This window comes from Homo sapiens, chromosome 9, assembly GCF_000001405.40.
Source record: "Homo sapiens chromosome 9, GRCh38.p14 Primary Assembly".
Classification (NCBI taxonomy): domain Eukaryota; kingdom Metazoa; phylum Chordata; class Mammalia; order Primates; family Hominidae; genus Homo; species Homo sapiens.
The window spans coordinates 72683855-72698178 of record NC_000009.12 but is presented as its reverse complement, the minus strand read 5'-3'; the positions used below and the strand labels follow the sequence as shown (position 1 = coordinate 72698178).

Here is a 14324-nt window from a genome sequence, read left to right as displayed (position 1 = left end):
CTCTGATAGCCATTGGGTTGTTTCTATTTTCATTATTTGGTGTTTATCATATAAAAGCCTATGATGCTGTGTAGCCATGGCATAAAATATTTCAGGATTTTTTTTACTCTATCTATATCCACAATTTTTTTTTTTAATTTGCCAATTAGAATGATATGTGGGTTAGTTTGTCTTAGGAGGTAAAGATGTGTTTTAATTAAAATGATCACAATTGTTTCCATGCAAACATAGGAATAACTTTAAATTACATAGATAGCAGTTTTATTGAAATATTTTCAGAAACTAGCAAAAATAAAATAAAACAGATGGCAAGAAATTATCAGTAATAAAGTCAATTAGAAAAAATCTTTATGATTAATAATTTAATTGCTTGATATGTTAAGCCTTTAACTTGCCAACCATTTCAAAATAATTCATGATATTTACATATAATTACCTTAAAGCTTTACACTACTGAACTTCCATTAAGAATCACATGTAAAACAGCATCTCTAATCCAACATCACCAAAGAATGAAAGAATTATCTATTTGATGTGTGGATTTGCCAGGTAACTAAACCTACAGGCCAACTTTCAGAGACCCTTTAATAGAAACAATTCTAATACTAATTAAATAGTTTATAAGTTCAGCTTGTCCAAATTTCAAGTCCTTTAAAAATCATATGAAATGTCTTTAAGAATCCCTTTTCTAACTATCCCTGTGAGAACAGTTTTCACTTCTCTGAGACTCCAAGCTACTTTGTTTGTATTTCTCTGGGACACATATACTTTCTTATGTCATAATAATTTGTATCTAAGTGGCCTATCCCTTACTATATTATGGACTTTTGAAGATTGCAAGATTGTGGGCAATTACATGTTCATATCCAAGTATCCCAAAGATATAAGCAAATTAGGTTGCACAAAAGTAGAGCTGGGTAAATAACTTATTGAATGAACATATGTATACAAAACTTTTCTGGATTGCTCAGGGTTATCATCATAAACCCAGTGCTCAAAGTACACTAAAATATAACAACTACCTCTGAGATTATTATGGTATGGAAAGACGTTTATTCCTGTACTAAATGACCCCAGATTGGTATATCTTTTAAGTCTCTGTTGTTAATTGTTTATTTCACCAGGAGGATCAGGCTGTGTTACAGGGTACAGTTGTTGACACATAAGTTACCCTCAAATATGAAGGTAATTAAAATACTTTTCTAATCAGCATTACAGGAAACCTGCTTTTCTAGAATCACTCAAAGAAAGGGCTAATCATATTAAAAGGCATAGGCATGCCTCATCTAAATTTTCAGGCTAATCTGTGCAAGAATGGTTTTCTATCTTAAGTTTGATATATTTAAACAACAGTTGTTAGGAAGAAGAAGGCATAATATGCTGAATTTCTCACTGCTATGAATATATTACTTATCCACTTAAAACTGGGTCAGGAAAAGCCTGTAATATTACTGGAAATACTCCAAAATGTCTAACAAGGCAGTGTTTTTTTAACTGCCTCCAAAGATAGTTAGCATTACAACCTTGGTTTTAGTTGGTTTCAAATGTTGTGTCAATGCAAGGGAAATTCCCTGAGGCATTACTTGAATAGTTAAATAAAAAATACCCTGAATTAATTAACCTACATAAATGTGCCCTGATTTGGCTACTAATCTTTCTCAAAAATATTATCTAAGATTTTCTTTTAAAAAAAAGATGTTTATCTTCAAAATGAACAATAGAAAATAGACTCTAAAATAGAGAACAGAACTATCAATAATCACAACTAATTTCTGATACTATTTATAATAGATGCACAAATTGTCGCAGCAAAAATACAATTTGCAAAACCTATGGAGAGAGTTGGGTTATGTGGAAGAGTGGGAGGTAAGGGATCTTGATTCTCAAGATCAAAATGAAAGTGAGGCCAGCTAGGAAGAGACACTGTCATAGCCACAGGATCCAGTTGCTTCACATGGCCCCATTTCCTAGAAGTTGAGCAGTTGCCATGAGGGCCATCAGCAGACGAAGAGAGCAGAGGAATTCCTGTCCAACTCATCTTTTTAAAAGGATTTTTTTGCGGCATAAATAGAGAGGAAAAGCAAATTTTGGAACACAACCTATATCATGCATACATCAATTGGAGATGTTTTCTCAATGAAATACCACTGTTGGAAAGCATAAGCTTTGCTAAATAGGAACTATTACTACATAATAATGGAACTAACAATCATAGTAATACATGGGACATAAAATGTGTTGCATTTTATTTTTGAAAGGAATAAAGCATAAAGAAACTTTAAAAGCAGATATAAATAAAAAATACTAGAGTCAAAATTTAAAAGCAAGTTTTGTCTTGGTATTCAAAAGGGAGAAAGGAAAAGCTGGGGAAGAGGAGGAGGAAAACTTAGACATGAAGTAGATGGTGTTATTCTTATTCTAAAAGAAACCATTTTTTGTTAATGCTAAGCTTCTCTACTTGACAAATTTTTCATTCAGTTGTTTTTAATGACAATCATTTATAAGGAATAACACAATAGTTAGAGCTATTGAGTATAGAAGTGTGTCATCTTGGGAGGACATCTTAGAAAGTTCCTCATGCTTCAAAGTCCTAGGAGTGTTTGGAGGAGATTCCACCACCTGATGGCGACTCGCATGGCCCTATTACCTGTGAGTTGTGGAACAGGTTGGCTGTTCTCTTGCATTCTTTCCAAGGGGTCTAGGTTTTCTCTTTAATTAGAGGTGTTTTACACGTACATTTTTCCTACCTGCCTGCTATCTGCAAATTTCCAAAAAGCAAAAAGAAGAAAAGTATTTTCTTGGATTTTTCCTAAACAGCATTTAATGCATTATTCTACACAAAGTCAGCGTTTACTAAAATGTTTTCCTGGTGGAACTAAAAGATATTGAGTTGTATTAAAAAGAAAATGACAACCCAAATCCTCTGTAACAAGGGCTAGCACACTTTCTTTCTATAAAGGGCCAAATAGTTAATATTTTAAGCTTTGAGTGAGATGTACAACTCTGTCCCATATTTGTTGCTTTTTATTAATGACCCTTTGAAGCTGTAAAAACCATTCTTACCTCTTGGGCTGGATTTAGCCATAATTTTCCAACCCCTGCTCTGTAAGATAAAGTGATGTTTGCTCACTATTTAGGAGTTTCTACTTAACCTAGATAACAATGCATACAATTAGTGGGGAAATTTTAAAATCTTTAAATTAACTGTAATATGTCAACGACCTATGATAATTCAGATCCTTCATAAGAGAATTTCTCATGGTCCATTTTTAATATATATTCATTTTAAAATTCTATTTTAACCATTAAAATACATTTAATTAAGTAGAATAAAATAGCATCATCAGATTAAGGCTCTCTTTCTAAAAGTAGCTTTAATTACCAATTTTAAGGTCAAAGAGTATCTGAAAGGAGTGATCTTCTTCAGCATTGGAACTTTTGAAAGAATATCAGAACTAACTTACGCTCCTCTCTTTAGCCTCCTCCTCCTCTCTTTTTCTCTTGCCTTCCTTGTTTCTTCATCCTCTGGTTCAGGTTCTGGGTCATCCTCATTGATAACATCTCTGGTCCGTTTCCTCTTTGGTCTCAAGCTCTCTCTTCGAGGTAGCTTATCTTCCACCTCCTCTTCCTCTTCACCTAAACATAGCACTTGATTCAATGAGTAATGTCAGAAAGTGCTTCCTCCCACTACCAAGCTTATTCTTAGTTTTTAATAACTATTATTACACATCTGACAGCACAGTCTAGCAATTCTCCACATCGTGATGGGATGCATCATGGAATACATATTTCATAGCCCATCATTTAAATAAATGTATCTAGATTTCCATTTCCATTGTGGTTCACCGACTCAAATAGGTGAATGTGGATTCCCAAATTTTAATAAGTTTTTGAAGAAGTTCTGGTCTTCATTTACTTGAGTAACTAAATAGCTTGGTGGTTAATATCATACCATGACCTCTAAGACCATTCAAATAAGTCCAAGTTTAGAGATTACCATTCCATTACATAATTGTTGAGTGATTAACCACTTCATATTTATTACTACTTCTATCTTAGAACAAAGAAGAGGAACGTTAAAGAGGTGCTACAAACTAGAATAATTTTGGAGAAATTCATTCAACCCTTGAGGTTCCTCTCAATTTAAATTTTCTTCATTCTTGATTCTAAATATTTTTCTCCTTTTTCCTCAATATTTTTGTTCTTTTCTTTAAAAAAAAAAGTAGTATACACATTTGCTTGATCATTTATTTCTTATGAATAGAAATAGGTAACATAAATTTAATGTAAAATTGAGAATAATGACAGCATTATTTTGTTTCATCATCAACAACAATGAATGCCTCATGTGTTCATAACTTTTTAGGATGCTTCCAGGTAAAGAATAGAGAGATAATTAAGATAAATTAAGATAATTAAGATAAAATTTCCTTCACAAAGTTTATAACATAACATTACTATTCCAGTTTCATTTCTATTGCTCCTAACTTCTAACATTTAGCATAAACTACTGTAAAAAATTAAATATTACAGTTATCATTACTCTCTTAAATAGAGGCTACCCCAGAGAAAAAATTATATTTCAATGGAAAACTATGAATTATCTGCAGCATACCTTTCTGTGTTATCTGATTCTGATTTTATGAGAACTATATGACAACTTTGAAAATTATACATAACCATATATAGCAATACAAAACACTTTTTATCTGTAGACATCCAAATGAACTCTTTCCAAAGGAGAGACAAGCCCCCTTTCAAAAACAACTTTGCCTTCATTTGTACAATCATTTCAATATTTATTATCTATAAATGTATCTATTCTTTGGACGTTCCTTTGAACTGATTATAGCATCTCACAAGTTGTTTTATTAGTTAAATATGTTCTTTTCACATACGTGTGAGTCATCATTTTATTTTTTCAAAATTATCTTTAATTACCACTTGTTAAAACTTTTTTATTGATATTTCAGGTATAAGATCTAAATATTACATATATTACTAAATGTCAGGTAGCAGAGAGTAAAAAACAGAATAACTTCACTTTTTTTTTTTTTTTGAGACACAATTTTGTTCTATCACCCAAGCTGGAGTACAATAGCACAGTCTCGGCTCACTGCAACCTCCAGCTCCAGAGTTCAAACGATTCTCTTGTCTCAGCCTCCTGAGTAGTTGAGAATACAGGTGTGCGCCATCATACCCAGCTAATTTTTTGTATTTTTAGTAGAGATGGGGTTTCACCATGTTGGCCAGGCTGGTCGTGAACTCCTGGCCTCAAGTGATTCACCTGCCTTGGCCTCCCAAAGTGCTGGGATTACAGGTGTGAGGTATCGCACCCGGCCCATAATAACTTTTCTAACTGGGCTTGGAAAACTGTATATATATTCTGTCATCCAAATCAAGAACGAGTTTCTGTTTGTTTAATATTGTGGCAAATGTATGTTATTTGAACCCCATCATGGCATTCTGAATATTTACCCTGCTTTTATTAGCCACATTAGTCACTAATTAAAGAAAGGACAAAAACTTGACAGGAGGCAAGAAACAATTTACCCACTAATAACTCACAAACCCAAGCAGCTACTTGGTACTCTGAATTTTAGTATTTTTTGTATTAAAACTAAACTACTGGGATGACATCAACAAGATGACAAAATAGGAAGCCCTGGACCCGCCTTCCCTCCATGGACATAAAAGTTCAACTACAATGTGGAGATAAGCTCCCTTCGTGAGAAATTCGGAAACTAGTTGAAAGGTGCCTGAACCCTAGATGAACACAAAATCAGCTAGGTAGCTGGTAGAAAAATCTGACACACCCTCACACCATAATCCCTCTCTGCTAACACAATACCATACAACTGGGAGAAAACCATCATCTCCCAGTCTCTCCCTGGGGAGGGGAGAAAACAACTGAACCATGTGTTCAACATTCTGATTTTTCTGGAGGTTCCCAAAGGACTGGTTTCTGTCTTGCCAGAATCTGAGCACTGACAGGAAAAGACCTCTGGTTAGGAACCAATGAGAGCAAAGATAGCCGTTTGAATAGTATGCCTCACTCAAATAGCCACTCCCCCAATTTAGCACAGAATAACCAGATGATAAACACCAAATCTGCACCTCTCTGGGGAGAAAAACAGTTGGATAGTGCATCTAACACTCCAACTTTTCTAAAAAATGACTGGACTGGCTTCTGTCCCACTTGTCTCCTAGAGCACTAATAGGACCCAGCATATTCTAAATGGCCCAGGGCCATGGAGAACAAAGGTGAAGTTTTGAATTAGTTTGTACTCATTCACCAGAGCCCCTTCCCCCAGTTCAGCATGACACAGTTGGCAAGAATTCCAGCCCTTGACTTGCCCCTGAAATGGGAAATAAAAGACTGAAATATATACCCTGTGTTCAGACTTCTCAGGAGGCTGCCTAAGGGAATGACCAGTCTCAGGGCATGGACAGGACCCAGCATACTGTTGATGCCTGGGGACTACTGGAAACAAAAAAAAGAACTCAGGACATGCTGCTTCCTCAGAAGACACATGTTATGACAGAAGGACACTGGAGGGAACAAGAGATTATGAATTCTTAAAAAGAAAAAGTCAACTGAAAAATCCCTCTTATTGAGAATTTACACACACAAGTCCAGAGACGATGCATACACAGGAAATGTTTGAGAGGCCCAAGAATCTCTGGCCTGCCTCATTGGTGAAACTCTTCTCCTGTACAAGGCTAATCCTTCTCCTGAAGGCTGGGAAAGGAATCTGTTTTTTCTAATATATGGATACCAAAACAAACAAACAAAATCAAGAAAAATAAAGAAACAGGAAAACATACCCCAAACAACAGAAGATAAAGCTCCAGAAACCAGCCCTAATATAATGGAGATATATGAATTACTTAACAGACTATTAAAAATAACTCATAAAGATGCTCAACAAATTCAGAAGAAAAATGCATGAACAAAGTATGAGTTTCAACAGAAATAAAAATATAAAAATAACCAGAGATAAATATTGAAGAGTACAAGACAATAACTGAACACAATAACTGAAGAATAGAGTAACAGAAATTCACTACAGAGGTCTAACAGCAGACTCGATCAAGCAAAAGAAAGAATTACCAAATTGAAAAATAGGATGTTTGAAATTATAGTTAGAAGAGCAAAACCATAAAAAGAATAAGAAAAAGTCAAGAAAGTTTTATGAGGGATCAACAAGCAGACCAATATATACACTATGGGAGTTCTGAAGGAGAATAAAAGAAAGAAAAGGCCAGAAAGACTATTCAAAGAAAATAATAACCAAAATCTTCCCAAATCTGGGAAAGAAAATGGACCCTCAGATTCAGGAAGCCCACAGACCCTAAATTATGTGAACCCAAATAAATCCACACCAATACATATTATACTTAAATTGCCAGAAGTCAAAGACAAAGACAGAATTTTGAAAGAAACAGAAAAGCAACTTGTCATGTACAAGGAAACCTTCATAAGACTATCATTTCTTAGCAGAAATTATGCAGGCCAGAAGAAAGTAGGATGATATTTTAAAAGTGTTGGAAAGAAGAAACCTGCCAACCAAGAAAGCTATGCTCAGCAAGTTTGTCCTTTATAAATGACAGAGAAATAAAGACTCTCAGACAAACAAAACCTAAGTTAATCACCCCTAGACTTTTCTTACAAGTAATGCTAAAGGAAGTTCTTCAAGTTGAAAAGAGAGGACACTAAAGAGCAACACAAAATCACATGAAAATATAAAACTGTCTGGTAAAGGTAAATATGTAGACAAATACAGGATACTATAATACTTTAATGACAGTATATTGGTAACTTTTAATTGTATTATAAAAGTAAAAAAGTATTAACAGTAACTATAAAAATACGTTAATGGATGCATAATATAAAAATATGTAACTCAAGATGTCAATAATATTAAGTGTCAAGGAAAGTAGAAGTGTAGAGTTTTAGTATGCAATTGAGGTTAAATTGTTTTCTACTTAAAATAGGACTTTTATAATTATAAGATGTTGAACATGAGTCCCATGGTAACCACAATAAAATTTCTATAGAAGACACACAAAAGAAAAGAGAAAGGAATCAAAGTATATCACTATAATAAAAATCAATAAAATATGAAGGAGAATAACATGAGATAAAAAAGGGACAAAAGAGCTTTAAGACAGAAAACAATGAACAAAATGGCAAAAGTTAGTCTTGCTCTATCAATAATAACTTTAAATTTAAGTGGATTGAACTTCTCAATCAAAAGACATAAAGTGGCTGAATGAATTAAAAAAGAAACCAAAGAAAAGAAACAACTGTATGCTAACTATAAAAGATTCACTTTAGATTTAAGGACACACATAGGGTGAAAGTGAAGGAACGGAAAATGATAGGCCATGCAAATGGTAGCTAAAAAAGAACAGGGGTGGCTATACTTACATCGGACAAAATATGCTTTTAGTATAAAACTGTCATAAGCAACAAATAAGGGCATTAAATAGTAATAAAAGGGTCAATTTACCAGGAAGATATCACAATTATAAGTATATATGCATCCAACATCAGAGCACCTAAATATAAACATTAACCAAACTCAAGAGAGAAAATATACAGCAATATAATTATAGTAGGAAACTTCAATACCCTACATTACATTCCATAATGGATAGAACATCTAGACAGAAAATCAATAAGGAAACAGCAGTCATGAACAACATTATAGATCAAACAGACCTAGCAGACATATACAGAACATTCTACCCAATAACAACAGAATAAACATTCTTCTCAAATGCATGAAACCTAAAAATACTACTCTAACATTCCCTCTGCCCTGTCTGTGTAAAAACTGGTCATCAAGAAATCATCCGACCTACCTTGTTTGAGTGTAGATCATAAGACCCTCATTCCAAAGAGGGTCCCTGCCCCATACCCAGAAGAAAGAAATGCATGCTTAGAGAGGCCAAGAAGAATCTAGGCAGACAGGCCTTGTTGTGTTTCCCCACTCTATGTAAACATTAGATTATACCCTTTTCGTCCAATCATATTTCTACACTGCTATCCACACTTTGTTGAACCTAAGCATAAAAATGGACAATTTTCTCTATCTTTGGGTCTTCATCCTAAGGCTTTAATGAATACAAGTTCTATGAAATTATATGCCTTTTCTCCTATTAACATGTCTTTTGCTTGTTGATTTTTCAGCAAGCAATCAAGGGAACACAGTCTTGGCCCTTATAGTGCCAACTGGATAGACTCTAGAGTGGGGATTCTGTTTGCTGAACTTGATTCCTCCTGTGAGACCATGAAAAGTTATCCACACACACTTCTGCTTACATATGGTAGCTCAAGTCCACAAGAGGATAAATTCTTTGAGTTTACTGGTATTCCATAGGAAATGTATCCCAAGTGGCCCATCACCACTTACTTGAGCTTTCCTCAGTCTCGTCTTCTTTTTCCTCCACTTTGATTTGTACTGTTGAGGAAAGAAAACAGTACAGCAATTATTTAAATGCCTGTACAATTGTTAGTAAGTGGTTTTTACTTTTATTGTTTTTATCATAATGTTTTTGTGCAGTTAATACAATTTTTCCATAAACTTGCCAAAATGAGCACGATTTATTAAAGATATACAGCTACAGCATCTTATACAATGCCATGCAAAGATTTTTCTATTTCATAATCTTCAGGGATTTGCAAAACATAACAGTTATAAGCCCAATTCAAAGTTATAAGCTATCAGCTCAATTCAAAATAACTTCAACCAAAATAAATTCTGTATTGCAATAAGTAGACTTGGGGTTTGTCGGGTTATTTTATTTCATGAGAAATTGAATTGTTAATAAAGCTATATCCACATGCCCATACCAATTAGGTTAATAACCAAATTAACTACTTAAAAATAGAGAATAATTTATTCCAAACACTTTTACCAAGCATGAAAAAGTCTTTAGAAAAATGCTTAAAGCCAGATCTTTTCTATTTCAATTATTTTTATACGTATTATATTAATATAGCCTAAATTTCCCAATATGTGATTCCCTTTGGCAACATGGAGATAGGTGATTTTACAGTTCTTTCCAAGACAAAGGACACTTTTTCTGTTTATTCCTCACCCCATAACACATACAGCATCTTCTTCTTAGCTTTGCTTCATTTTTATAAAGGCATATAAAAGTTTTATAAAATTTTTGACACTACAGTAATATGAAAAAATATATTTATTGGCATATTTTTTTCTTTTGTCAACTTAATGTTCATTCATCACAGGTTTCTTGCCTTGGAAAAATTAAAATATTTCTTAATAATCGAAGTCTATTAACTTGCTTATAAAACATGAATTTTATCATATTTTTATTTAAGGTGGAATGACATTTTTCCAAAAAAGCAAAGATGACAAACAGTGTTGCTGTGAACAGATGAAACAACCTCTGGTTTTGTTTCTGTTCACTCACTGTCAAAGGTTATTATTCAGAACTTGATGGGCATATTGAAAAGGCAACACATGCCAAGAGTGTAAATTCCATTCACAAAGAATATTATTGTAAAAGCACTTTTTGCCTTTAAACAGCATCTGGGTAAAAAATTTTAGGATATGCAAAAATGTTATCACTCAACATCAGCCACAGAATGTGAAAATAAATGTTCTTTTGTTCAAAGTGAACATATGCCTTCTGTTGCTGGCTGCAACTGAAACTACACAGGACAAAGATCTTTATGTCACTACTGAAAGTTTGCAATAATGAAGGCAGACACTTCTAAGGAGATATTCCACATTCTACAATAGGTCATGGTCTTTTATTTGCAATTAATGTCACCACTAAGCTTCTTCAGTCAAAGAAGGATTCTCTAGGAAAGAATTTTAATGATATAAGATTAACATTGGAGCAGGGTGTTATCAGTTATATATAAAGAAGAAACAGCTGAGGACAAATAGCAAATGCTGACCCACAGCCTACTTTGCGATATGCACAACCAAAGCACATTTTTAAAACATTTGCACGATGTATTAGGATGATTTGTGATGATTATTTCACTAGAATGTGATAATATAAAGTTAATTAAATAAAACAGAAAAACCTACTAAATGAACAAAAATATAAGGAAATCTTTAGGAAAGATTATATATTAAATAAAAAGAGCAGAATAAGGTATCCCAAGCTAAAGAGATAAGCAACAACTCAGTTTCCTCTAATAACCACGGGAGAGAAAAAGCAGGGCTAGAGTCATGAATCATCTTCTCCGGCACAGAAGGAATAGTTTATAAATAACCATTAAATAAAACCTAAAAGTCCATAAGGGAAGATATTCCCTGTGGTGGCAAGTAGAGAACTAAAACAGAGCTGCAATTTCTCAGTGATGCAATGAAGACTGCTGCAGAAATGACCCAGTCCCTCCTCTTGAGTTGGTTTTCCAATAGTGATTCTGGTCTGTGCATGGTCATCTCCACATTCTCCTTAGGTGCCTTCTTTGCTTAACAGCATTCCTTTGTCTGATCGTGGAACAGTCATGTTTTATAGTCATTGTGATAATACTTGTTTTGTTCTTGATTCAAACCCTCAGCAAAGGTGTCATAAGCATCAAGAACCAAATAGCAGCACTATGACCAGGAGATTTAAGACACTACCAAGATCCTCAGAGCAAGCTCGATTTTAATGGAACATTATTTGGCCTGAAAAGTAACTATCAGCACTGGCCTATATCTCCTTCAACTTAAAGCAATGCTAAAGAACTATGTTAAGAACTCCCTCCAAGACAAAAACCTGTGTGAAGAGATAGCTCAGAATACTTGAATGGGAGCTACAAACCCTTTCCTTTCTCAGACAATGTCTGAGATGGCATGTTGCCATTCCTTCTCTCAGCAGTCCCTAGTACCTTATTCCCAATCGTATGATCTCTTCATGCCTCAGCTGCTCCCCAATGCCCATTGATCATGCACTTTAAAAATAACCTTGTCTCCTGGAGAGTGATGGGAGGATAGTGAAGGAAGAGGAGGGGAAGTCTGTCAAAATGTTGGAGGCAGCAAGCAAAACTGCATTGAAGTATGTGTAGTTAAAAGAGGAATATGCAATAGGAGCAGATGAACTCCTAGGCAACCCAGATCCTCATTTCATGCAGATAGACTCAGTAATTAAAAACAGTAAAAAGAAACAACAGCAAAATGTCACATTTCAGAGGCATAGGAGTCGTTCAGAAAAGTGGATGTTGTTCTGGGGCTTCTTTTTAAATCTATAATGCTGAAAGTAGTTTATGCTTCTTCAGGATAACACAGTGACCAAGTGGCCAGAAGAGTTGAATGGTATTGCCTTTTTCTCTGACCCACATTTACTTCTTGAAGCAATGTTTATAGCTCCAGGTTATTATTTTGGAAACTGAAAATTCACTTATTGAATTACCATTTATTGTGTGCTCACAAAGGAATATAGAGAAAATGCTCTTGGATAAGGGTTTGTAGACAGTAAAAGAAAATACCACTGCCTTTAATGAGTCTTACTATTTGATGCAAAAGAATGACTTTATAGGCCAGGCGCAGTGGCTCACGCCTGTAATCCCAGCACTTTGGGAGGCTGAGGTGGATGAATCACTTGAGGTCAGGAGTTTAAGACCAGCCTGGACAGCAAGGTGAAACCCCGCCTCTACTACAAACACAAAAATTAGCTGGGCTTGGTGGCAGGCGCCTGTAATCCCAGCTACTCAGGAGGCTGAGTCAGGAGAATCACCTGAACCCGGGAGGCAGAGGTTGCAGTGAGCCGAGATTGTGCCACTGCTCTCCAGCCTGGGCCACAGAATAAGACTCCCTCTTAAAAAAAAAAAAAAAAAAATGGCCAAGGCGGGTGGATCATGAGGTCAGGAGATCGAGACCATCCTGGCTAACACAGTGAAACCCCGTCTCTACTAAAAATATAAAAAATTATCCGGGTGTGGTGGTGGGCGCCTGTAGTCCCAGCTACTCGGGAGGCTGAAACAGGAGAATGGTATGAACCCGGGAGGCGGAGCTTGCAGTGAGCTGAGATAGCGCCACTGCACTCTGGCCTGGGCGAAAGAGCAAGACTCCGTCTCAAAAAAAAAAAAAAAAAAAAAAAAGAATGACTTTATAACAGTAAGGTTTGAGATTATGTATGGGTTTCTTCTCCAGCCTACCTAAGCTGCAACAGCAATGTATTATTTAGCTCTTTTGTGTTTCTTCTCAGGATTCTTTTTTGTGTACGAAGAATGTCAATGTTGGCCCTTCTCATACAAATTGGATGTTTTTACCTCAGACTAAACTTTCTTGATAGGGATGTTAATCAGTGGCATGACAGGCATAAATGAACCCATGTCATCCCTGTAGGATGTGAGAGAAATAGAGAAATCAAGGATAGCAACAGGTTCTTTGCTTGAGCACCTGAAGAATGGAATTACAGGAAAAGAAGATGGAAGACTGTAGGGAGAATAGCTTAGGTAGGAGCTGTTAAAGATCAGGACTTTAATCAGATCCGTTGGATTTCAGGTGCTGTCTAGACATCCAAGCATGACATTAAGTAGGCAGTTGAATATTTGAGCCTGGAGTTCAGAAGAAAGGTCTGGACTGGAAATATGAATTAGGGAATTATCAGCAAAAACATTGTATTTAAAGCCATAAGACCAGATGAGATAACAAAGAAAATGAGGGTAAACAAAACAGAAAAAGGAGACTCAAAATGGTGAGGAACAGGAGAAGAACAAACTGAAGAAATCAAAAATGAACAATCAGCTCTTAAGTAGAAGGAAAGTCAGAGATTGTGGATGGCAGAAGATGTGCATCAGAGACGTATCATAAGTTGCTAAGTACAATGTGGACTGAAAATTGACCACTGGATTTGACAATGTAGAGATATTGATGATCTTGGCAGGCATATGTTTAGTGCAGTTGTGTGGGCAAAAAGCTGAATTCAAGTGGCTTTATGAACTGATGGGCAGTGAGTAAAAGGATACAGCTATTTTTGCTATTTAGAATGGTCTTATATGCTGTTAAGAAAGATCTAATGAGAATTGAGAAATTGAAGATGTAGGCTATGAAATGAACCACCTATAATGTAAAGAAAACAACACGAATTAGATTATTAATTCCTCAGTTTTATTTCTGCTTTTGGTTTATCCCTGGGCTGTGCTTCTCTGACTGATACTTTGTTAAAAGACTGAACAACTTACTAATATACCTCTTGCTTAGATTTGAGTCCACTATAGCAATTCAAAAGTATGGAACTAAAAGATGGGGTAGGGAGAAGAAAAGAAAGAAAAAGAATGAGAGGAGAAAGGAGAGAAACAGAAAGAGAAGTAAAAAAATAAATATGGGGTGAGAATTACAGTA

The 14324-nt window shown here is 35.1% G+C and overlaps 1 protein-coding gene across 2 annotated transcripts in view, besides 1 other annotated feature; it reads right to left on the bottom strand.

Annotated features, from left to right (window-relative positions):
• Positions 1-14324, bottom strand: part of TMC1 (transmembrane channel like 1) — a 316690-nt gene that overhangs the window by 140119 nt on the left and 162247 nt on the right. For both annotated transcript variants that reach the window (NM_138691.3, XM_017014256.2), the window contains 2 exons: positions 9423-9470; positions 3465-3636 (listed from right to left, as the gene is read on the bottom strand). In NM_138691.3, coding sequence (NP_619636.2) covers positions 3465-3636; positions 9423-9470 — 220 coding nt within the window. The remainder of the gene's footprint in view (positions 1-3464; positions 3637-9422; positions 9471-14324) is intronic.
• Positions 12947-13160: a silencer, noted in NCBI's record as "fragment chr9:75299935-75300148 (GRCh37/hg19 assembly coordinates)". NCBI's record gives its function as "represses an EF-1alpha promoter that drives an FKBP-Casp9 reporter gene in an ReSE screen in K562 erythroleukemia cells {active_cell/tissue: K562}" and the evidence as "EXISTENCE:reporter gene assay evidence [ECO:0000049][PMID:32094911]".